This window comes from Homo sapiens, chromosome 6, assembly GCF_000001405.40.
Source record: "Homo sapiens chromosome 6, GRCh38.p14 Primary Assembly".
Classification (NCBI taxonomy): domain Eukaryota; kingdom Metazoa; phylum Chordata; class Mammalia; order Primates; family Hominidae; genus Homo; species Homo sapiens.
The window spans coordinates 43548246-43560426 of NC_000006.12; the positions used below are offsets into that span (position 1 = coordinate 43548246).

The window sequence follows — 12181 nt, forward strand, 5'->3', positions numbered from 1 at the left end:
AGGGATCTCCTTTACCTGTGCATGTCTTGAGAAAGCCAGATGCTGGCCACTGGTGCCATCAGCTCCTCTAGGAACACCTTCTGACGCTCGTAGTTCTTAAATTGGTTGCTAATGAGAACCAGGGCTTCCATGAGGGCACACTTCTCCATTTGTGTCAGGAGTAGCTCATTGGAGAGGAGTTGCTTCACATGGTTATAAAGCATGTCAAAATTGGGCTACAGATCAAAAAGAAAAAAAGCCAGAGGTGGTAAAGGTCTGATTTTCAAGGAGAGGTGGCTTACTCAAGGAAGAAAGAAGAAAACCAAAGCAGTCCCAGGAAAGTCAGGCCTATAAGGTTATTATTTGGTAATTCTGTTATATGTCTTTATTTTGCCTAAATAAGCAAGGCAATTTAGGCGGAAGATAGCTCTTGTCTTGAGTATTTGGATAACTGCACTTTCCCATACTACAACTGTGAAAAGATCAGCTTGTTTTATATATATATATAGATATATATGTATATCTATATATATATGGAGATAACTGCTGTGCATTCAGAGAAGAAATTTCTGGATAATTTGTAATCTGGAGTAATGTTAAATTTCTTATAACCCCATGCCCCAAAAAGGGTTGTGATTTGCATCTGCTTTTCTCAAGATCAGGCACATCATTTGGCAGTAGTAATTAAGATCATCACATAGTAAAGAGTTGTAGAATTATAGGGGTAAACTTAGTAATCTATATGGCAGAGAACTATTTGTATTTTGAAGAGAGATTACATTTGCCATCACATTTCTAACTATACTACTAAGTATACTAAGAAAACACCAATTCAAGAATGTTTATTTATTTATTTTTGAGATGGAGTTTCGCTCGTTGCCCAGGCTGGAGCAATGGCGTGATCTTGGCTCACTGCAACCTCCGCCTCCTGAGTTCAAGTGATTCTCCTGCCTCAGCCTCCTGACTAGCTGGGATTACAGGCATGCACCACCATGCCCAGCTAATTTTTTTGTACTTTTAGTAGAGACCGGACTTCACCATGTTGTCCAGGCTGGTCCCGAACCCCTGGCCTCAGGTGATCTACCCACCTCAGTCTCCCAAAGTGTTGGGATTACAGGTGTGAGCCACCATGCCCGGCCAAGGATGCTTATATGATGCAAAGCTATAGTTTCTAGTTTTTTCTTTATGTGAGGTACACTGAAAGCTGGATTTACACACAAATGTAACCAAACTTGGCTACTTCAGCCAGGGTCCAGCAGCTTACCAGCACAAGCTGGGGGTAGTCACGACACATCTTGATGATGGAGGAACAAGCATGCCTCCTCACATTCCTCACTGCCCGGGTTCTGGGGGCCTGAAAAGAGACATTCAACAAACTCGGAGCTGCTTTTAATATAATATACAGGTGCTGCATAGACTCATGTGAATATCTCAGTCAGGGGCAAATTCACAATGATTTTTCACAACCCTAAGAGTATAATGGAGTAACATTTATAGCCACCAAGAATCCATGTTTCTTGTATGCCCTATAGTGGCAAAACAACATATATGATAATCTACCACCCTTACTACCCCCTCCCATTTATATAAAAATATAAACTGAGTATCAGGTATTCATACATTTGTACTCAAGAAGTTAGAATCTATTGGTTTAATTAATGGTCTTACCTTACTTTCTTCAACAGTTTCAAAAGTGACAGATGAAAATAGCTAAGGGAGAGGAGGAAAAAAGGTCACTCATGTTTATTTGTTTTAGAGATGAGATCTTGCTATGTTGCCCAGACTAGACTTGAATTCCTGGGCTCAACTGATTCTCCTGCTTTAGCCTTCTGAGTAGCTGGGACTACGGGCATGAGCTTATTCATACTGTCCATTTTCTCAGATAACCTCTACAAGAGTCATCGGAGTCACAATTTTACCATCAAAACATTTTACAATAGGATCCCAGAACAATTCATGCCATCACCCAAGCACTTGGCTATGGAAACGCCTCTCTCTTCTTTTATCAAAAGTTGTATGGTCTATCCCTTCTATTCCATTTCATTATTTCCCATTTACTCCTCATTCCAATGAAATATGGCTGCTTACTTGGCCACTATTATGGAATTAAACTCAGACAAGAGTGTAGTCAAGAAACTCACTGGGCATTCTCCAACTCAAATAATTTGCAACAAATGAGCCCACTTTTCTGAAGTCCTACTGGTCTTGTGACACAACATTTTCTTCATTTCTCTGGCTCTTTTTCCTTCTGTGGGGGCTTCTCATTTTTTTCTCCACTCCTCCAATGATGGTGATTCACTAGGTTCCTCGCTTGACTCACATGTCTCCTAACTCTACATACATAATCACTTCAGTAAGACTTCACTTTTAGTCGTGGGACTACTATGATGATGATGCTTTAATTTTATCTCATTACTTTCTAGAGTCTAGATCTTCAACCTCAAATAGCCAATTTATTGTGAGATGTCTCCATAAAGATGTTCTACATATTCTTCAAACACAGTATTCCAAAATACTCATGCTTTCTCTTCTTTAGTCCCGTTCTCCTTTGTGATCTGGTATTCTGACTCAGGGAGTGGCTCTATCACCCACCTAGTCAACTGAACTGGAAACCTGGAAAGTGTTCCTTCCTCTCATAAATCCCCTCCCTGCCCGACAGCACACTCTAATACTCTCCTTTATACAAGTCTTCATTGCAATGCCATATAGGTAACATTAACTGTTTTTGTGCCTTTCTTCCCAGAGTGTTCCTAAAGAGTGAGGCACTAGCATGGTACCTGATCCACAGTAAGTACTGAGTAGATATTTAATAAATGAATAAATAGCTGTGTTTATTAGTTTGCCTCACATAATTTTAAAAATAGTTACAAAAATAATTAGCCTAGGCCAGGCATGGTTGTGCATGCTTGTAGTCTCAGCTACTCAGAAGGGTGAGGTGTGAGGATCCCTTGAGACTAGTAATTTGAGTCCAGCCTGGGCAATGTAGCAAGATCCTGTCTCCAAAAAAATAAAATAAATAAAAATTAACTTAGAAATGTCAAAATAAAATTTACAAAGGAGATGGGCTTTATACCTTAGAGAAGACCTGGGGCAGGAACTCTGGTCTGTAGGTGACAAATGGAAAGAGTGCAGAGACATTAGTAAGGACGCAGGACAGGATGAGGGGATCCTTGGTATCAAAGTTCAGAACCATCTGCAATAGCTCTATTCCATCATTAACAGGAATTTCCTGTAACAAAGACATAAAACAGGTTGACAATGGCTGCCTCCACTTAGAAATAACCATTTTGGCTACATTTTATTTTCATCTTTTAAAGAGACAGGGTCTCATTCTGTCACCTAGGCTGGAGTGCACAGTGGCACAATCATCACTCACTGTAACCTCAAACTCTTGAGCTCAAGGGATCCTCCTGCCTTAGCCTCCTGAGTAGCTAGGACTACAGGCGGGCACCACCATGCCTGGATACTTTCTAAAATTTTTGTAGAGATGTTGTAGAAGTGTTGTTATGTCGACCAGGCTGGTCTCAAACTCCTGGTTTCAAGTGATCCTACGGCCTCAGCCTCCCAAGTAGGTGGGACTACTGGCACGCACCACCATGCCTGGCTAATTTTTTAAATTTTTAGTAGAGATGAGGTCTCACTATATTGTCCAGGCTGGTCTCAAACTCCTGGGTTCAAGCATTCCTCCCATCTTGGCCTCCCAAAGTGTTGGGATTACAAGTGTGAACCACCGTACTCAGCTGTGCGTGCCCTTCTTACCATCTTCTCAGCAGTGTATTATTCCCTAAAACCTCTTAAATTTTGTATTTCTTCAACTGATCAAGAGGCTGAATGTTTTTCATATTTATCAGCTACTTTATTTATATATCACTCTTGGTTGCCCAGTGCAATGGCACGATCTCAGCTCACTGCAACCTCCACCTCCTGGGTTCAAGTGATTCTCCTGCCTCAGCCTCCTGAGTAGCTGGGATTACAGGCACCCATGACCATGCCCGGCTAATTTTTGTATTTTTAGTAGAGACAGGGTTTCGCCATGTTGACCAGGCTGGTCCTGAGCTCCTGACCTCAGGTGATCCACCCACCTTAGCCTCCACGTGCTAGGATTACAGGCCTGAGCCACTGCGCCCCACCCTTTTCTTTTTTTTTAAGACAGAATCCCACTCTGTCACACAGGCTGGAGTGCACTGGCGTGATTTTGGCTCACTGCAGCCTCTGCCTCCTGGGTTCAAGCGATTCCTGTACCTCAGCCTCCCAAGTAGCTGGGATTACAGACATGCACCAGCATGCCCAGTTAATTTTTGTGTTTTTAGTAGAGACAAGGTTTCACCATGTTGGCCAGGGTGGTCTGGAACTCCTGAACTCAAGTGATCAGCCAGCCTTGGCCTCCCAAAGTGCTGCGATTACAGGCATGAGCTACTGCGCCCGGCTTATCAGCTACTTTAGGTTCTCCTCTATACATTATTGGATTATATCTTTTGTCTATTTCTCTATAATTTAGTAAATCCTCATCTGCCTACTTTAAGAAATATGATTTTACTGATACAGTTGAGGCTCTCTGTGCATACCCTCCTTTTCAGACCTACAGGTGGCCACTATACTGGTGGCGTACAGTATTCTAAAGCAGTGTGGTACTTAAAATGTATACTAAATGTGGTAGTGCTTAGAGTTAGAAAGACCTGAGTTTTGGTCCCCATTTTGCCATTTATTAGCTGTTTGAACTTGAGTATGCTATTTAGCCTCTCTAAATCTGTTTCCTCTTCTGTAAGATGTACATCCATAGATTTTCCTATTCTACTACCAGTTTACTGGCCAGGCATAGTGGGTCATGCCCGCAATCTCAGCACTTTGGGAGGCCAAGGCAGGAGGGTCGCTTGAGGCCAGGAGTTTGAGATCAGCCTGGGCAACACAGACTCCATTTTTATTATAAATTAGCCAGGTGTGGTGGCAAGTAACTGTAGTTCTAGATCCTCAGGAGCCTGAGGTAGGAGGATTGCTTGAGCCCAGGAGTTGGAGGTTACAGAGAGCTATGATTGTGCCACTGCATTTCAGCCTGAGCAACAGAGAGATATAGCGTCCCAAAATAGAAAGAGAAAAGAAAAGAAAAAGGTCAAAATAATCATGCAGTCAGCATGGGAAATAATTACTTACTTCTCTATTTAGTGTTCGAAACATCTGGGTGATAACACTTTCCAAAAAAAGAGTCATGGCTTCCCACTGCACGAATGAAGGTGAGAAGACGGAACAGAGGCTTCCTTCTCCAGTTCCAACTGCAGAACAAGCTTTAAAACACACACACACACATACACACACACACACACACACACAATTATCAGCATTGAAAGATCGCAGAAGACACAGAGAGACAATGGAGCCTTAGAGAACACCTGAGAATTTCATGATTGAAGGAGCAGGGTAATCTAACCCCTCTCAGCTGGGGCAAAGAAAAGATGATGTGTGCTGAAAGCAATGAGGTAGGTGAAGGTTCCTACCATGCCTCCTCCTCCTCTAACAATGAGCGGTCTGAATTCACCTCTATGAGCCTTGTAGTAAAACCATTTTGAGTAATGAATGAGAATACGCAGGTGAACATCAAAAACATTGCCTGGCCCATTAGTAGGCACTTGATAAACATGAATTAGTTTCTCCCCTCCTCCCCCTTTATAATCTTTTCCATGAGAATCTAAATAATTAAAATTGAGACCATAAAGAATCTTCCCAATAAGGAAACAATGTAATATACAAAATACTGCTTCACATCCAATAGCCTCATGACAGCCTTAAGGGCTATGTCTAGAGAAGGGTGCCATCCTTCAAGTTTACAACTATTACCACAGCACAGCACTCAAATAGCAAGGCACAAGCAAAAAGATTTACCAACTGCTTTTCTTTTTTTGTTTGTTTGAGATGGAGTCTCCTCTGTCACCCAGGCTGGAGGGCAGTGGCGAGATCTCGGCTCACTGCAACATTAGCCTCCCAGGTTGAAGCAATTCTCCGCCTCAGCCTCCCAAGTAGCTGGGATTACAGCCACCTGCCACCATGCCCGGCTAATTTTTGTATTTTTTTTTTTTAGTAGAGACGAGGTTTCACCATCTTGGCCAGGCTGGTCTTAAACTCCTGACCTTGTGATCCACCCACCTCAGCCTCCCAAACTGCTGGGATTACAGGCGTGAGCCACTGTGCCCAGCCGCTTTTCTTTTCTTTTTTTTTTTTTTCTTTTTTGAGATGGAGTCCCGCTCTTTGCCCAGGCTGGAGTGCAGTGGCACGATCTTGGCTCACTGAAACCTCCACCTCCTGGGTTCAAGTGATTCTCCTGCCTCAGCCTCCTGAGTAGCTAGGATTAAAGGGGCCCACCACCACGCCTGGCTAATTTTTTGTTTTTAGTAGAGACAGGGTTTTGCCATGTTGGCCAGGCTGGTCTTGAACTCCTGACCTCAGGTGATCCCCAGCCTCGGCCTCCTGAAGTGCTAGGATTACAGGCGTGAGCCACCCTGCCTGGCCTAAGATTTACCAATTGCTTTTCTTGCTTACATACAGCGTAGTCCTATTTACTAGTTTCATCTTAGTGCAACACATTTGGGCTTCCTCAACCTTTCAAGTTACCAAATATCAGAGAATTTAGAGTCAATTGTAAATAAAGCTGAATGTTAAGTCCCTCAAATGTCAGCCAGTAGTATGGTGCTTTTCTAAAGCAGTGACGTGCACTAGTTAATTCACTTTTTTTTTTTTTTTTTTTTGAGATGGAGTTTTGCTCTCGTTGCCCAGGCTGGAGTACAATGGCGCCATCTCGGCTAACCGCAACCTACACCTCCTGGGTTCAAGCGATTCTCCTACCTCAGCCTCCCAAGTAGCTGGGATCACAGGCATGCGCCACCACGGCAGCTAATTTTTTGTGTTTTTAGTAGAGACAGGGTTTCTCCAAGGTGGTCAGGCTGGTGTCAAACTCTCGACCTCAGGTGATCTGCCCGCCTTGGGCTCCCAAAGTGCTGGGATTACAAGCGTGAGTCACTGCATCCAGCCTTTTTGCTTTATTAATACTGTCACACACATATAGCATGCATTAAGATGAGAGACAAAACATTTGGAGTACAGAGAAGTTAACTGGCTGAGGCATTCGGTAGAGGGGGATTATTCTGAATTTATGTAAAGTATAATTTCACAAAAGCTTTGGAGTGGCTGAGTGATATGAGAAGTCCCTGTATTATTCCTGTTATGTCTAACAGGAGATCCTTTCTGATTTCAGGAATAGTGCTATGCAAGACTTTGGCTGAAAAGTTTTAAAGTTAGGTCTACGCATGAAATTTGTTAAGCTGGTGCCTGAAGTGAAGCAAATAAAATCAACAATAAATAATTGGTTGATTCTGTTAGAAATGGAAAATGATGGCAAAACTGATAAGGACATGGTTTTACCCTAATTTAAAACAAATTTAAAATGTGTCATCTGCTTTCTTTGTGTCAGCCAATGAAAACGCTCCCTCTCCAGGATGAGCAAAGCTATTTTTGAATAGTATAAGTATATCGTTCTGATGTGTGTATAGCTCAGGCTCATTTCCTATATATAGTTTTGATACTGTCCTAACATTTCACTAACATTCAGTAATGAAAAAAACTTACAATTCACAGAACCAGCATCAAGAAAAGTTGATAGTTGATACTTTAGCCACTCCCCAGCCATCTGGAAGCTAGTTTTGGGATCCAAACGACATGCCAACCTCATCACCTCTCCTTGTTGTGCTCGGGAGGCTGCCAAGAGAAAATGCCAAGGGAAGGACAGGAATCAATAACTGGTATAAAATAAGTACTTAATGTTTATTAATTTACCACCCTAGGGGAAAAGCATTCAAAGGAACTGTTTTGCAGACTTGTGCTTTGCATGTAATAATCACTCAATAAAACTTTATTAACGAATCCAGAAGTTTTTGAAAATAAATGATCTCTGGAAACTGTATTACCAGCTAGATCCTGTAAGTGGCAAACTAAACTTAGTCTCCCATTTCTGTTTGAATTAAAAGGAAATCAGGATTGGGCACAGTAGCTCACGCCTGAAATCCTAGCACTTTAGGAGGCCAAGGTGGGCAGACTGCTTGTGCCCAAGAGTTCAAAACCAGTTTGGGCAATACAGTGAGACCCAGTCTCTACCAAAAAATACAAAAAGTAGCCAGGTGTGGTGGCATGCTCCTATAGTCCCAGTAACTTGGGAGAGTGAGGTAGGAGGATCAGCTGAGCCCAGGGAGGTGAAGATTGTAGTGAGCCATGATCGCAGCACCACTCTTGCCTGGACAACAGAGTGAGACCATGTCTCAAAAAAAAAAAAAAAAAAATTTTTAAAAAGTAAATCAGGTTGGTGGTAATAAAAAATGGTGCAGCTGCTGTGGAAAATAGTCTGGCAGTTCCTGAAAATATTAAACTTGCAATTGCCATATTATCCAGCAATTCTACTCCTAGTTATATATCTAAGATAAACAAAAACTTATATCTAAACAAAACCTTGTATATAAATGTTCATAGCAGCATTATTTGTAATAGCCAAAAAATGGAAATAACTCAAATGTCCATCAACAGATGAATAAATGAGTAAATGTGGTATATCCATACAATGAAATATTAGCAATAAAAAGAAATGAAGGCCGGGTGTGGTGGCTCACGCCTATAATCCAGCACTTTGGGACGCCAAGGCAGGTGAATCAGCTGAGGTCGGGAGTTCGAGACCAGCCTGGCCAACATGATGAAACCCAGTCTCTACTAAAAATAAAACAATTAGCTGGGCATGGTGGTGCATGCCTATAATCCCAGTTACTTGGGAGGGTGAGGCAGAAAAATCGCTTGAACCTCAGAGGCAGAGGTTGCAGTGAGCCGAGAGTGTGTCATTGCACTCCAGCCTGGGCGACAGAGCAAGACTCCATCTCAAAAAAAAAAAAAAAAAGGCTGGGTGTGGTGGCTTACGCCTGTAATCCTAGTACTTTGGGAAGCCGAGGCGGGTGGATCACGAGGTCAGGAGATTGAGACCATCCTGGCTAACACAGTGAAACCCTGTCTCTACTAAAAACACAAAAAATTGGCTGGGTATGATGGCACGTGTGTGTAGTCCCAGCTATTCAGGAGGCTGAGGCAGGAGAATCGCTTGAATCCGGGAGGCAGAGGTTGCAGTGAGCCGAGATTGTGCCACTGCACTCCAGCCTGGGCGACAGAGCGAGACTCCATCTCAAAAAAAAAAGAAATCAAGTACTGATAAATGTTGTAACTTGGATGAATTTAAAAACATTATGCAAGTGAAAGAAGGCAGTCACAATAGACCATGTATGATTCAATTTATATGAAACGTTCAGAATAGGCAAAACAGAGACAGAAAGTAGATTACTGGTTGCCTAGGACTGGGAGAGATGAGGGAATTGGGGGATGACTCCTAGTGGATATAGGATTTATTTTTGGGGTGATGAAAATATAATCTAAAATTGATTGTGGTGATGGCTGCACAACTCTGTAAAAATACTAAAAACCATTAAATTATATACTGTATGTGGGTGAACTGTATGGTAAATGAATTTTGTCTCAATAAAGCTGTAAAAAAAAAAAAAAAAAAAAAAAAAAGGAGGCTGGGCGCGGTGGTTCGCACCTGTAAATCCCAGCACTTTGGGAGACTGAGGCGGGCAGATGACCTGAGGTCGGGAGTTCGAGACCAGCCTGACCAACATGGAGAAACCCCATCTCTACCAAAAATGCAAAATTAGCTGGGCATGGTGGTGCATGCCTGTAATCCCAGCTACTTGGGAAGCTGAGGCAGGAGAATCGCTTGAACCCAGAAGGCAGAGGTTGTGGTGAGCCGAGATCGCGCCATTGCACTCCAGCCTGGGCAACAAGAGTGAAACTCCATCTCAAAAAAAAAAACAAACAAAAAGGAAATAAGGCACAGAAAACACAGAACAGAACTAGAATATTAGAATAAAATGGATTTTTCCACTTTTTGGGGGAAAGAAATAACCATAAGGTAAGATGGTATTTAATCCTAAGTATGAAAAAAAGTCAAGAGCGTCTTAAGTATGGTTACCATCCCTAAACATCAATGTCTAAGTGCTGTGGGGGTTTGTGGTGTAAAACAAAATATTATGCCTGGAATACAGCCCCAGCACTCTTCTGCAATGGGAAACTAGGGCCTAATAAGTAGGCTGCTATCCAGATTTGGGGATCTTTCGTAAAAACCCCAAACACCATGCACCATGATTCATAATACTAGATGCCATTCTGAGACTGTTGAGAGAAATCCAAGGCCAACATCACTTACAGTTGAAGAAAGCATTGAAGTCCTCATCGCTATCAAAATCAAACCGAGAATATTCACAGCTAGGGCTGTCTGTTTTAGAAGGAAAGCCCATCTGGAAAAAGAAAGGTAATTGGGGTAGGGGATGAAAGTGGACCCACTGAAAGAGTTTTTAAGCTTCAGGAGTTCAAGCACTTTTAATTTATTTAAGAGTTAAGCGTTTGCATGAGATATTGTATGGTAAATATCCACTTCAGTTCTATCACAGGTCCACAGTTTGCTCCCAGTTCCAGTATTCCTCAGTGGTAGAAAAGAGAATACTTTTAGTTGATACCATCCTCCAAGTTCCTCAGGGAGAATTAAATTCTTGAATTCTTTTAAGGTCCCCAGAAAAAATGACAATTCAGTATGTAGTAAGGAAGAAAGAACTGAGAGCTACTTGCCTCAAATACTGAACACTGAGAATAAACTTGTAGAACTTTGTATGTTTCATTCAGAAAAGAATTGAAGACCATGGCAGAAAATAAGAACACAGTGTGGCCGGGTGCGGTGGCTCACGCCTGTAATCCCAGCACTTTGGGAGGCCGAGGCGGGTGGATTGCCTGAGCTCAGGAGTTTGAGACCAGCCTGGGAAAAACAGTAAAACCCTGTCTCTACTAAAATACAAAAAATTAGCCAAGTGTGGTGGTGGGCACCTGTAGTCCCAGCTACTTGGGAGGCTGAGGCAGGAGAATTGCTTGAACCCAGGAGGCAGAGGTTGCAGTGAGCCAAGATCGTGCCACTGCACTCCAGCCTCGGTGACAGGGTGAGACTCCGTCTCAAAAAAAAACACAGAACACCAGTGTGTGCTATGTGCTAGGCAAATTCCTTAAGAAAATAAGGGGACCCTTGAATGTGCACCATTCTCTGATGTTACAAATTGAGATTAACAATCTGTCAACTGCAAGAGCTCTTAGCAGGGAATTCATGAGCAACTCTCTACTGAGGTAGTGAGCAATCTTTGCTTCCACTCTCACTCCCCTCATTTCCCTTTGTAACTCTCACTTGGCCTCCAGAAGCAATGCTTAGATATTGCCTCCTCTTGGAATCTTCCTGACTCAACCCTCCTATGTACTTCCAAAGCATTCTGCTTTTAACCCCTGAATAGCAATTATTACATTGTATGGTCACTGCTCTTGCCCTAGCACCTAGCCCAATACTTATGATATATTAAGTACTCTCATATGGAAGAGCAGTTATAATAACCAGTAAGGACTGATTTCTTCCTAAGGAATAAGAAAATATGTCCAGTAAAGGAATCTTAGTGATGAAGAAGGGCTGTTAATAATGCCAATCAGTCTTTTTTATGTTTCCCCCGAGACAGGGTCTCACTCTCATTGCCTAGGCTGGAGTGCAGTGCTGCGATCTCAGCTCAATGCAGCTTCAACTTCCCAAGCTCAGGTGATCCTCCCACCTTAAGCCTCCCCAGTAGCTGGGTCTACAGGTGCATACCAACATGCCCTGCTAATTTTTTTGTATTTTTAGTAGAGACGAGGTTTTGCCATGTCGCACAGGCTGGTCTCCAACTCCTGGGCTCAAGCGATCCTCCCGCCTCAGCCTTCCATAGAGCTGGGATTATAGGCGTGAGCCACCGCACCCAGCCTCAAAGTCTTATTATGTGTATTCACCTACATTCCACATGTTTAGATTCCCATTATATACCTTGACCAAGTTAGTCATGGAAGCACGAAGATATTTTGGTATTATTGCTAATAGCAAAGGATCACGGGACAGGATTTCATGCCTGAAGAGGGCTCCCCAAGTCATCTGAGTTGAAGAGCGTAGAAACTAAAGAGAAAAAAAAAAGAAAACGTCAAAGGATTTGGATTCTATATAACCCAGATTATTACTTAGCAGTTATCAACTACATTTTTTCATAGAAATAAATCTGTACAATACTTTGAAGCTGTC

The 12181-nt window shown here is 42.5% G+C and overlaps 2 protein-coding genes across 3 annotated transcripts in view; one reads left to right on the forward strand and one right to left on the reverse strand.

Moving 5' to 3' along the window:
* The window catches only part of POLR1C (RNA polymerase I and III subunit C), a 45319-nt gene that overhangs the window by 31157 nt on the left and 1981 nt on the right, over nucleotides 1-12181 (forward strand). The window contains exon 9 of the mRNA NM_001363658.2: nucleotides 2723-2766. Coding sequence (NP_001350587.1) covers nucleotides 2723-2724 — 2 coding nt within the window. The 3' untranslated portion in view covers nucleotides 2725-2766. The remainder of the gene's footprint in view (nucleotides 1-2722; nucleotides 2767-12181) is intronic.
* Nucleotides 1-12181, reverse strand: part of XPO5 (exportin 5) — a 53705-nt gene that overhangs the window by 25912 nt on the left and 15612 nt on the right. For both annotated transcript variants that reach the window (NR_144392.2, NM_020750.3), the window contains exons 11-18: nucleotides 11933-12058; nucleotides 10256-10346; nucleotides 7591-7719; nucleotides 5128-5258; nucleotides 3053-3208; nucleotides 1648-1689; nucleotides 1244-1333; nucleotides 16-215 (exon numbers count right to left, since the gene is read on the reverse strand). Coding sequence is in view for 1 of the 2 variants with exons in the window: in NM_020750.3 (NP_065801.1) it covers nucleotides 16-215; nucleotides 1244-1333; nucleotides 1648-1689; nucleotides 3053-3208; nucleotides 5128-5258; nucleotides 7591-7719; nucleotides 10256-10346; nucleotides 11933-12058 (965 nt within the window). In the remaining variant the exon portion in view is untranslated. The remainder of the gene's footprint in view (nucleotides 1-15; nucleotides 216-1243; nucleotides 1334-1647; nucleotides 1690-3052; nucleotides 3209-5127; nucleotides 5259-7590; nucleotides 7720-10255; nucleotides 10347-11932; nucleotides 12059-12181) is intronic.